The sequence below is a fragment of the Homo sapiens genome, chromosome 20, assembly GCF_000001405.40.
Source record: "Homo sapiens chromosome 20, GRCh38.p14 Primary Assembly".
NCBI classification, from domain to species: domain Eukaryota; kingdom Metazoa; phylum Chordata; class Mammalia; order Primates; family Hominidae; genus Homo; species Homo sapiens.
In genome coordinates this window covers 14,695,857-14,709,217 of record NC_000020.11, presented here as the reverse complement: position 1 = coordinate 14,709,217, position 13,361 = coordinate 14,695,857, and the positions used below count along the sequence as shown (strand labels likewise).

Genomic DNA, 13,361 nt, shown 5'->3' with positions numbered 1-13,361 from the left:
TAGTGTTATATAAAAAACCTAAAGAAATGTATAAGTATAAAGAAATGCTTTGAGGTGCTACATTTGTTCCTCAGTCAGGATTGAAACAGGCATCTACTTTTGCCCATTTCTTTTTCTAACCAAAATCCATGCTGGCAGGAAGTTTGCTCAGTATTTAAAGCTGAACTCTTGGCTATAAAACAAAGTCAAAGAAGACTGCTCACATCAACCCACACTCTAACCAATGATGTACATAAGTCTATATCTCAGACATTGCAGATGATCACTAGATAAGAAATTGCCATCAAAAACAGGTGTTCAGGTCAGGCACGGTGGCTCACACCTGTAATTCCAGCACTTTGGGAGGCCGAGGTGGGTGGATCACGAGGTCAGGAGTTCGAGACCAGCCTGGCCAACAAAGTGAAACACCGTCTCTACTAAAAATACAAAAAAATTAGCTGGGCATGGTGGCGGGCACCTGTAATCCCAGCTACTCGGGAGGCTGAGGCAGGAGAATCGCTTGAACGTGGGAGGGGGAGGTTGCATTGAGCAGAGATCGTGCCACTGCACTCCAGCCTGGGTGACAGAGCTAGACTCAGTCTCAAAATAAAAGCAACAAACAAACAAAAAGTTGTGCAGAAAAGCCCTGAAATAAGTTTTAAAAAAATGGATATTACTTTGAAATATACCACTAAGTAGCAATGTTCTCACAGTCAATCTCCTAACCAAGCTGCTTTCATGTTCTTATTTGTAACAGCAAGTAGAGAGTTGTCAAGAATCAGCAAACTACAGTCCCCAGGTCAAATCTCATTTGACACCTAGTTTTGTAAACAAAGTTTTATTGGAACACAGACACACCCTTACATTTACATTGCCTTTGGCTTCTTTCGAACTATACTGGCAGAGTTGAGTGTTTATAAGTGAAACCATACAGCTGGCAAAGCTGAACATATTTACTATCTGGCCCTTTAAAGCAAAGTTAGTCTACCACAGTGTATATTATAATAAGAGGTTATCAGGAAGATTAAATGTCGTAATGAACAGAAAAGAGACTGAAATGCTATTACTAGTTAATGTTAACAGTGCTTACCAAGTTTTAGGTATTGTATGTGTTACACATCATCTCATATTATCCTTAGAACAATCCTGTGAGTTAGTCACTATTGTTGTGTCTCTTTTACAGATGAGAGAACTGAAACAAAGAGCTCAGAGTTTCCTATGCACACATAGCTTGTTTGATGTAAAGGCCAGGTTTAAACCAAGGTTTCCAACTCTAGGGAATTACCAAGCACTAGACTATATTGCCTCTATGTATCTGGAAAGCTCTAACTATTATAAATATGAGTATTTTCTATTAATCCAAACCTTATGAGTATTATTTTAATGTGGAATTCAAAATAATGGATAATTAAATATTTGCTGTCAGTATGAACTACTAAAATAAAGTGATAGGAAGTTAATTTTTCACTCCTTCTTTGGGCCCAGGATTTGTTTGAACAAATAGTTGTGATGGGCGCCTTCCCTATCACATTTATATATTTGTGATTTATTTATAAGGTTCTGGTCAAAAATAAAAATGATCTTGCTGAGTCCGAATGAGAGATTCCCGGATGTAGGCGGCTGGGAAATTCACCCCGATCTTTATGCCTGTGGTGAGTGAGCCTCATAGAGGAAACACACTCTACAGCACTGGGAGGTCTCACACTGAGAGCTACAATCAAAACTGGAAATTAAGACAGCAATGGATTTTGTTCTAGAGGGAGGCAGGACAGAGGATAAATGTTCTCTGCTTATGGAAACACAGACCTCGCCTTTATACCTTTGGAAAGAAAACCGAGGCTCTTCTATGAAAAGGTTAAGATGTAATATTTATGTAAAAAAAATGAAGGATTCTATTCAAATTGGTTCATATGTAAAACCAGCATGACTTCACACATTGCTGGATCCCGCTGCTATGGGTCGCCTCCATGGAAGACTGGCTCTGTGTCTTCTGCCCTCAGTGCTCCTCCGTGAAGCCTCTCCACACAGAAAAGGTCAGGAAGCCCATTCGCCCTGGCCATCATCCCAGCCTTTTAGGAGATGACTGGAATTACACTCAATTCTGCAAAGTTACACATTTCAAACAGAGAGGAGTAAACAATTTTATAAAATCTGGGATCCTGTTCTTTCAATCCTGACAACCCCATTCAGCCTGATCATTTAAGGAGAAAAGGGAGGCTAAGAAGGGAAGCGGAAAAAGAAGCAAGGAGAATTACTGCCTTGGATCTAAATTTGAGCTCCTAGCTTTCTGCATCCTATTTTATGGACTCCATATGTAGGATATTATTTATTTATTTACCATATTTCAGGCAAACAGCTTTTCCACAGCAGCACCAAATAAGTTAAAAATTAGAATGAGGACTGAACTGAAAGAAGAACCTTTCGGCAATTGTGCCCTTCAGTCTCGGCGGTGCTTGCTTTCTGCCAACAAGCAGAGATAATCTGTGATGAATCCTGGAAATGGCTGGAGGGACAGTGATAAAGTCAATTCAGGAAGAATAAAGCGGAGCAAAAGGAGAGGGCTGTCTGCCCAGCCGGGCTGGTTGCAGTTTGAAAAGAACTGAATCTGGAAAATCAGCTTTTGGGGAAGTATTCTACAAAATCAGTACTCACTAGACAGGTTCAACAAATGATAAATAGAATGTTTCACTGTTGGAGGGGAAAAAAGTTTCCTCAATTTTTAAACTCATAAAATATGTAATAATACCCTCAGGTACTGAAGTCTTGGAAGTCAGAGGCCACAAGGGCTGGTCCTCATCTCACAGAGTGTGAAGACCAGAGCCAAAGCATCCATGTTCAGGGAAAACACTCACTGATTTGCTGGAGAAAACCATAAACTCTCAGTTTCACTCACTTGAATTCTTCTACCAATTTTTTTTTTTTTTTTAATATAGAATCTTGCTCTGTCACCAGGCTGGAGTGCAGTGGCATCATCTCTGCTCACTGCAACCTCCACCTCCTGCGTTCAGGTGATTCTCCTGCCTCAGCCTCCACAGTAGCTGGGACTACAGGTGTGTGCCACCACACCCAGCTAATTTTTGTATTTTTAGTAGAGACGGGGTTTCATCATGTTGGCCAGGATGGTATCGATCTCTTGACCTCATGATCCACCCGCCTTGGCCTCTCAAAGCGCTGGGATTACAGGCATGTGCTACTGCACCCAGCCTCTTCTACCAATTTTTAAGCATATGCAATATCAATCAAAATAAAAGAGAATTTTTAAAATATCACAAAATTAAAAAAAATCAGGCTTATTCTGTACAAGAGAAGAAAAAGAGAGAGAGGAAGAGAAGAAAAAGAGAGAGAGGAAGAGAAGGAAAGAAAATCTAGACTCCATCTCACAGGAGGAAACAGTGGCAAAGATACTTGAAGCAAAACATCTAGAATCATTAATGTTTGAATTTGTCTTTAACTTCATAAAATACTGACAATAACTTTAAAACAAAGCTATGAATGAATTTAGAATTAAAGTCCTTATTAGAAAAAAATAAGAAATTATAACTTCTACTTCCCAACACATTTTTATTCCCAATTACTTCTGCCCATTTAGTCAAAAGGTTCTGAAAACGTGACCAAAGAGAGTATGTCTTTATATTACTCCCATAAAATAGATGGCCCAGTCTGCAACCTTCTGATTTTCAGGCCCTCAGGAGGTCACTAAGAACCACAAGTCTAATGGGAAGTTAATTAAAAGGCAAAGAAATCCAAGAAGAGATGGCTGGCATCCACAAAATCAGTCCTGGGGATATAGACTTACTCAGACTAAATTATTCATTCAGTGACAATACACTACATGGGTACATTCTGCATTAGTTCCATGCTAGGCATAGAGGGGCATTATTTTTTTTTAATAAAAATGAAATTAAAAAAAGAGTTCCTGGCTCTTGGCGGTTTATATTATGCTTGGGAGGGGAAGGGACATAAAAAGTACGAACATGAATGTAGGTGAGACGAACGGAGAGATGTAGCTCAAAGGATACAAAGTAACAGACGGGTAGAATAAACACGCCTAGAGATCTAATGTACAACATGAGGAGGATAGTTAAGAAAGTGGTGTGGCATGTGGGATTTTTTTTTGCTATGTAAGTAGATATAATTGCTCTTGTCACACATACACAAAATGGGAAACTGTAAGATGATGAATCTGTTAATTTGCTTCACTATAGTAATCATTTTACTATCTGAATGTGTCTCATATTATAGGCCTTAACTATATATACTATTAAATGTATTGAAAAAAAAAAGAGAGACACAAGAGAGGTTCCTTGCCCCTTCCTCCATAGGAAGTAACAGCTAACACCTAGCTGTCTCAAAAGCCAGCCCCTGCCAGGCCTTGATTTTGCATTTCCCAGCTTCCAAGGCTGTGAGAAATAAAATTTAAAAAAAGAACACGCATATAATCATATGTGATGTTGCATTACTTGGTTCCAATGACAAATGTGGTAAGAGTCTGGTGCAGCTCCATGAGCTTGTGTTTGAACAGGCCAGGAAGAAACTTCGAAGGCTGTGGAATCAAGCTAGAGAGAGGAAAACAGGCTTGAACAGGCCAGGACGAACCTTCCAAGGCTATAGAATGAAGCTAGAGGGAGGAAAACAGGCAGGATTTGAATAGGTGGATATCTTCCTTTGAGTTTCCCCAGCAAGAAGATCTTGAGACAAGAATCTCAGGTGACCTCAGAATACAATGGCCAGAAGTAGAGAAGTGAGACAGGAGTAGGAAAGAAACAATAAACAATGCTGTTATCAAGCCAGTTACCACTGTGGGTAACTGGAGCCCGATCCCACTGAGAAATCTGAGGGCCACAAGGTTCATAATTATCCCACCCAAGAAGCAGTGAGCTGGGCTATTTACACGGTAGGAAAAGGGCGCAATAAATCAAGGGCCCATTACAGCCCACTGCCTGGAATTACAAATGGACGCTATATTCAGGGACAACAGGGCAGCAGTTTGGGGGACGATGAAGATTTGGGCCTGTGGATCATTTAGTTCAATGCTGAGGAGAGGTATTAATATCATAAAGGAAACTTATTCCAGCCTTAACTTGGGTAGATTAATGCTGGAAGAAATCATAAGAAAATACTACCAAAAATTCTTCATTTTCAGATAAGAGAAAAGAGATTCAGAGACCATTAATGTATTGTTTTGCTTTTTTAAAAGAAGTCAGGGTCTCAGGCCAGATGCGGTGGCTCACACCTGTAATCTCAGCACTTTGGGAGGCTGAGGCGGGCAGATCACTTGAGGTCAGGAGTCCGAGACCAGTTTGGGGAATATGGTAAAACCCCGTCTCTACTAAAAATACAAAAAATTAGCCAGGTGTGGTAGTGTGCGCCAGTAGTCCCAGCTACTTGGGAGGCTGAGGCAGGAGAATCTCTTGAACCTGGGAAGCAGAGGTTGCAGTGAGCCGAGATCATGCCATTGCACTCCAGCCTGGGCGACAGAGCCAGACTTCGTCTGAAAAAAAAAAGTAATTAAATTAAAACAAAATAAATAAAATAAGTCAGGGTCTCGCTCTGTAATCAAGGCTGGAGAGCAGTGGCATGATCTCACTTTGTTGCCCAGGCTGGTCTTGAACTCCTGGCCTCAAGCCTCCCTAGTCGCTAGGATTACAGGTGTGAGCCTCTGTGCCCAACTCTATTAATGTATTATGCTATGGCACAAAGCTAGGTTAGAGCACAGCTGGAGAGAAAATCCAAGTCTCTTGGCTCTCAGCCTAGAGTTCTCTTTATTAAACCTCACATATACCTAACATTTGTTTATAGAGACTTCATGAAGTATGGACTTGGGCTATCTGTTAGCAGTGTAATTTATTATTATCTCATAATTATAGTAAATATTCCTGCGTGACTTTGTTCTCTAATTCTCAAATGTAATCCTGACATACCCCTCCTTCCCAGCTGTTGCTCTTCTATGTTCATTGCTAGATTTTACCACACAGTCCCTCCCAACCAGCAATCCCGATCCAGGAGGCAAAGTATGTGAGACATTATGTACCCAAAAAATGTTCATCTCAGTATTGTTTATAACAGGAAAATATTGGAAACAACTAATCACCCATTTAGAGGAAAATAAACAAATAAAATATGGTGTATCTGCAAGAAAGAAATATAGCAGCTGAGAATGAATTATAGCTAGATAGATCACTATGGAGAGGTTTTAAAAATATAATGTTTAGGTTGGCTGTGGTGGCTCACACCTGTAATCTCAGCACTTTGGGAGACCAAGGCGGGCAGATCACGTAAGGTCAGGAGCTCAAGACCAGCTTGGCCAACATGGTGAAATCCCGTCTCTACTAAAAATACAAAAATTAGCAGGGTGTGGTGGCAGGCACCTATAATCCTAGCTACTAGGGAGGCTGAGGCAGGAGAATTGCTTGAACCCAGGAGGCAGAGGTTGCAGTGAGCCGAGATGATGACATTGCACTCCACCCTGAATGACAAGAGAAAAACTCCGTCTCAAAAAAAAATATATATATATACACATATATATACACACATATATATACATATATATACACATATATGTGTATATATATATACACATATATATGTGTATATATATATACATATATATATGTATATATATATACACATATATATACACACATATATATACATATATATACACATATATGTGTATATATATATACACACACACACATATGTAATGTTTAGTGAAAAAGCCAAGAAACAGTACAGCCCATACACCATGAGGCCATTTGTGTACAGTTAAAAACACAATACCATGTATATGGATTATGGCTATTTCCGTGCTTCTGGTAGAAATATAAGAACACAGTCTGGAAGGATTTACATTCTGCTCTTAAGAGTGGGTTGCTCTGGACAAGGAATGGAAAGAGGGGAAGGAAAGAATGAGACTGAAAAGAAGAATTTGTCAGAAATAACTGGTTATTTTATTTTAAAAACAAAAAGTAGAAATAAAGAGGCAAAATGTTAATATGTTTAAAATTCTTGGTGGGTAATGCATGAGTACTGTTATTTTTCTCAGTACTTTTCTGAGATTAAACATTTTAGGTAAAAAAAAATAAAGCTTTCTAAATAGCATCATCAGTTTTCATTAGAAAAAGGGGAAGAAATTCAAAAGAAACATATCAATAAGATGAATTTATATATAAGCAAATCTTCATGTTCATGTCTAGGGATGAGAGGAAATCTTATTTATAAGTGCAGAGCTATAGAGAGAGACTGCCTGAGTTTGAATCCTTGCTCTACCCTTACTAGCTATGAGATCTTAGGAAAGTTGTTTAACCTCTCTGTGCCTGATTTTCCTCATATATAATAGGAATAATAACAGTAACTATCACAGAGGGTTGTTTTGAGGATTAAAATTTGATAATATTGCAGAAGTATCTGAACAGTGCCTATCACACCAAGCTCAGGGACATACAGAAGTGATCACCATGTTTTGTTAGACTGTCTTAGACTTTCTATACAAGGGTATTTCTCCTTTTAGTGAAACTATCTTTAATACACTGATATGATAATTAATTATACGAAGGGAAAATTGCACGGACTCTCATCTGCAGCAGCAAGTCCTGGTTTATAACGTAAAAATCTAATGAATTGCAGCAGCAAAGTTTCCATTCATTCATTTAACTAATAAGTTAAAACCTCATTATAATGTCATTTACTGTGCAGTGCAATTCAGCAGAGGGATCTCTCTTGGGCCTCAGCTAGAAGGATTTAATTACTGGATTACCAAGAGGACTTTCAGTCAAGTGGCATCACCGATGAGGCAAACTTGAAGGACAGAGTTATCAAGAGAGTCCAGCATCCTTTTTTAGAAGTATAAATGTTCAAGGGTTGATGTGGAAAACATGCAAGGCTTTCAAAAGCTTTCAGTTTAGACTACTCAGGATAGAATGAAAAGGTGGGAGAAAGTGAATAAGCATGCAACTCACATATTTATAATCCCAGAATGTCACAGGTAGAGTATCTACAGAATATAGATAGCAGTGACATATGGAAATACAAAAGGCAGAAGAGAAACCTGAGTGCTCCATAACTAAAGAAATCACTTTTGAGTCATTTCTGTTTTGCCCATTGCAAAGATAAAGCTAAAGACACTGATTCCCACTTATATTTTGTATATTTTTAAGCACCAATGTTTCAGCACATTTTCTGCTCATCTGTTAAGCTGCAGGCCTTATGACCACAGGAATTCCCTCATAGAAGGGAAATAAAAGAGATGAATTCGGGGGTCTCTATAGTCTTGGCATGCTACAGAACCCATTACTACAAACTGGAAAGCCCACTCTGAGGTCCAAGACAGTGGACTTCAGGCCATCAACAATAAGCCAAATCTCTCCAAGAAGGAGAGATTACTCTGGTGAGCCAGCTCACTCCTACAGCTCTAGCAGTGCCAGTTTCTGTTTTGAAAGCAAAATGCCTATGTTTGGTATGTAGATTATGACTGTGTCAGAGTCCAAATCAGCATGCATCATAAAGGCACCAACATTCACAGAGGGAAATGCATTTTACTACTGTAAGCAATTTAGTTCCCCTGTTTAAATGGATTTTATACAAAATGTGGATAGAATGGAATAAAATAAATGCACTCATCACGAATCTCTTTTTCCCTCAAAGTACTAAGCAAAGATTTTAGTTATCTGGCACATCTATTACACACACACACACACACACACACACACACACACACCACCATATGTCTTAACTGTCAAAGAACAAGCTTACTCATCTATGCCTAAGCATAACTGAATAGTTGAGTGATTGATATTCAGCTTCATAAGTGGAACTTTTTTTTACCTTTTGCTAGATACTCAATTATGATATAAAAGGTCCATAATGAAAATTTTTGAAACAGTTCTATAAAACTCAGCTTATAATATCATGAAATGTAATGCTACACGGCACGTTGCAAAATACAGCACCTAAGATCTTGCATGAAAAGAAGAAGTGAAAAATGAGTTTTCCCCAGACTATGGTCTATAGGTATATATTACACACAGAGACACACACACAAAATATGGTTAAAGTTCATCTCTCAAAGAATATTCATACTGCTCCTTTAATATAAGGAGAAGTTAAACTTTAAACTTCTAGATTTAAAATTTAAACTTTAAACTTCTAGATTTAAACTTTAAATTTCTAGATTTAAACTTTAAACTTCTAGATTTAAACTTTAAACTTTAAACTTCTAGATTTAAACTTTAAACTTCTAGATTTAAACTTTAAACTTTAAACTTCTAGATTTAAAAAGTTTAAACTTTAAACTTCTAGATTTAAAAAGTTTAAACTTTAAACTTCTAGATTTAAAAAGTTTAAACTTTAAACTTCTGGATTTAAAAAGTTTAAACTTTAAACTTCTAGATTTAAAAAGTTTAAACTTTAAACTTCTAGATTTAAAAAGTTTAAACTTTAAACTTCTAGATTTAAAAAGTTTAAACTTTAAACTTCTAGATTTAAAGTTCTGTGATAAAAGTTGATGCTTGAGGAAAAGAAATTAGTTTTCACATAGGTATTAAACTACATATTACTGGAATATATGCTTAAGAATATTTCTTCACAAATAGAGTGCAAGTTGTGAGACTGACGGCCTTCCTTGTAATAAAATAAGATTCTATTTCTGTAAAATTAATATTATCTCCCTGACTATCATGCTATTTCCTTCTCTGTCCCAAATAACAATGAACTCTGGCAGTCTACAAAGAGGAAGATGCCCAGCTTGCTCTGACACAAAATAATAAATAGATTTCTCATGTTGCTGCAAAGTCCCTAGCATTCTATTTGTAAAGAACAAGTTGTAAAGCTTTATTATTTCCCATAAAATCTGAACAGTTTGAACACAGAGGAAATACACATCAACATTCCCCCTTTTAACACATTTACAACATTTAAGCAAGTTGTAAGCACTTGGGCTAGCAGTCTCAATCAGAAAAGTCAGTTATAACACATTTCAAACCCATAAAATTATCACTTTATTTTAATGAGATTTAACAATAAATTGAGCTTAGAAATAGACTTTGAACGCTGACTCTGTATCGGGGGAAAGGACCTCACTATCAATTCATGAGCTTTTCATTAGGCAGGTCAGAACATGGCTCTCAGGTCCCTGAAGTTCTTTAAACCTCTTCCTTCTTGCTTTATTTCATCCGGACACTATTACTTAAATTATAGACTTTTAAAAATATGAAAAAGATGTGCAGCACACCTAAAACTTGCTTGGTAGGTATATTAAATATGAAATATGAGCTTGACCTTACCATATGTTGATGCTATTTTCCTGGCTTATTTGTATCTATTAGCCAAGTTACTAGAGGAATCAAATGAACAGAGCATGAAACTGAAAGTACTCTTAGGCTAGTTCTTCTGATAACTTTGTTAATAATTATAAATAATTAAATTATACTAAATTTATTAAAATAATTAAATGTAATTATTTAATTAAATAATTACATTTAATTATTTAATTAAATTAATAAAGTTTTCTATGTGCACATATTTGCTCATTCACAGGTGGTTTTGAATATGTTCCTAGAATATGGAGATGTAACAGTGAATGCAGTCCTCACTTTCATAAGATTATATTCTAGTGGAAAAGAAAAACATTCAGCAAAAAAAAAAATAAAGACATTAAATAACCTCAGATGATTATAAGGGCTGTGATGTCAACCAAAGCAGGGCAAGAAGATAGAGAGTGAAGAGGTGACATTTTAGATAAAATAGTTGGGGTGATCTTACTGAAAAACAGCTAACCATGTTCAGTGTTCACTTGGAGTTAAGCAGTGCTCTGAGTGCCACACAGACATTAACTCATGAGAGCCTCCCTGTGAGGGTAGGGTGATTGTCATACCTATTTCCCGATAGCAAAACGGAGGCACAAAGAGGTTAAACAACTTGCCCACGTCCAGAGCCTGAGTTTGAGCCTAGAATGTTGGGCTTCAAAGTCCATGTTATTAACCATTTAGACAGTGTGGCTATTAATGGAAAGAACATCCCAGACGGGAAGACCAAAACCATCAGGTCTTTTCATTGTAAGGAAGGGCCCCCAAGTAAAATCCCCATTCCATCACTTAAGTATCTGTGCAAGAAGACCTTGGGCAGGTCACTTGATTCATTTCAGCTCAGCACAGCACAGTTCCATGAGGGTGAGGTCCCTGTCTGTTTTTGCACAGTATTATTTTCCAAAAAAATAAGCAAAGCACCTGGCACATATTAGGGAGCAAATCAGTGATTGCTGCCTGAATGAACCATTTGCTTACTATGTAGCAGATAGATTGTGAGATGCAAAGTGTACAGTCTTAAACAACAGGGTAAAAATCCTTGCCTAGTTCTTAGGCACTGCCTAGAAACTGGTGTCAGTTGCCAGAAAAGCAATTTCCAGATTTCTTTCCAGCTTTAAACTGCTGTCATTGTGACTCTACCGAAAGCTCCACTGTTCCCAAACATACATCCTCAAGAACAGTGATAATTAAAAAGTTGCTAATTACCATGATGAACAATAAATAGAAACATCTCACATTCAGCCTTTAAAATATCGATCCCTTATTTCTGAATGGAGTGATAAGAAAAAAAATGAGAATATGGGAGGAAAGAGGGCTGTGTGATAGACAGTTAATCTCAAAATAAGTATAAAGGATAAGATATTACTTGTAGTGTGATATGAATGTGTTTAAGGTAACAGGTTTAGTGCCCACGGCAATCAGTTAATTTGGTATATGGAGAAATCCTGCCATTGCACAACACAGAGAATTTAAGGAAAGGCTAAAAGTACTGTATTAACTCTTGATGTGCAGTTCCCTGTTTCGGCTCCCTCTTTGTGCATAGCTGTATGGATCATTCTAACTATGGAATATTCTATGTACAAAGCTCTGACCATTTTGTTGGATATATTTTGATGTGGGGTTTCTCAATCTGGCATCGTTCTTCTCAGGCAATAGGTATTATTAGGAGGAAGAAAATCAAAATAACTTTTGTTAATTTTAAAACAATAGGTAGGACATATCCCGGACATATGGAGGAAAGCCCAGTTCCATGAGCTTAGCCAGCACAGCAGTTAGCTCTTCTCTGCCAGCCAACGGATTTCCTGGGGAATCCCCAGTGCCCTTCATCCCAGTTCCGTCAAGCCACTCCCAAACCCACTCTCTCAGACTGCTTTCCCAAACAGCTCCACAAACTGAACACAATCCCTGAATTCCATATTCACAAAACATATTATAACTCAGAAGGAAATATATGTTCTACATGAGAATGAAGGTCATGAGAGATGACATGTATATGTATTTAATATACTGTACTAAGTATAGGAGTAACATAAAAGCAAGAACAAACTCAACCAGCCCAGTACGGAAGGACAATAGTTTGTCATCACATGCCATAATATCAGAAAGCAGACACTGAGCATCAGTAAAAGAAAGGGATTCCCAAGAGAGCCCTTTGCCCTCCACAGACCTCCAAATGGGTAACTAGACTCCAAACACAATACAGACACAATTTTAAAAAGAACTTGCAAAACTCCAGTTAAGGCTGTGTCTCATGATCTTCACTAAGCAGAATAAACACACAGAGAGAATAAATCTTTCCTGAAAATGTCACAGGTAGGAAGAGGCAAGCTCCAGAAGGCCTTAGGAAATTACAGGGATTTCACAAATAGCACGTGATTAAAAATGAAGCAAACTCTCGGTAGTTCTGAAAAATAAAACAGCTAATGGGAAACACACCAGCTTATACAGCAAACACATTTAGAAGGGCATCACAACATATGCGGATGAGAAGTTACCTCTGCTTCACTTAGCTCACAGCATTAACAGAGGACAGAAACTGAATTAATTTTCCCCCCAAAATAGAAACAGTAATTCTTATCAGTAAAAAAAAGCATGTGAGTGGCAAAGGTAAAGACTAGAGCATGGTCAAGGAGTAACAGGAGTAGGTAGATATTAATATCCAGTTGTGTGTTTTGGTTTGTGTTGTTTTTCTCTCAATGCTTCTTTACTAAGCTGGACTTTGGGTTCTCTTTGACTATCTATCTATCTATCGATCTATCTATCTATCTAAGAAGTTTTCGTTCATAATAGTTTTTCCAATGTAATATGCTGCCTATGATAATGGTATGGCAAAGGGCTTTGGTTGTATAATGTAACATTACCCACCATGTGATTTGGCTTTCATTTTCCAATTTAGGCCTGTCTCTGACACAGGCAGGTTCTGCACTGAGAAAATGTGATTGATATCCCCCACTCTGATAGTGAGCCCTTTCCCCTGCTTTATAAACTTCAGGATCATAGTTGCTGCATTAGCTACCTATTGCTACGTAACAAATTACCCTGCACTTAAAAAAACATATATGTATTATCTCACAGTTTCTG

The 13,361-nt window shown here is 37.6% G+C and overlaps 1 protein-coding gene across 3 annotated transcripts in view; it reads right to left on the bottom strand.

Moving 5' to 3' along the window:
* The window catches only part of MACROD2 (mono-ADP ribosylhydrolase 2), a 2,057,682-nt gene that overhangs the window by 1,343,980 nt on the left and 700,341 nt on the right, over positions 1-13,361 (bottom strand). The window lies entirely within an intron of this gene.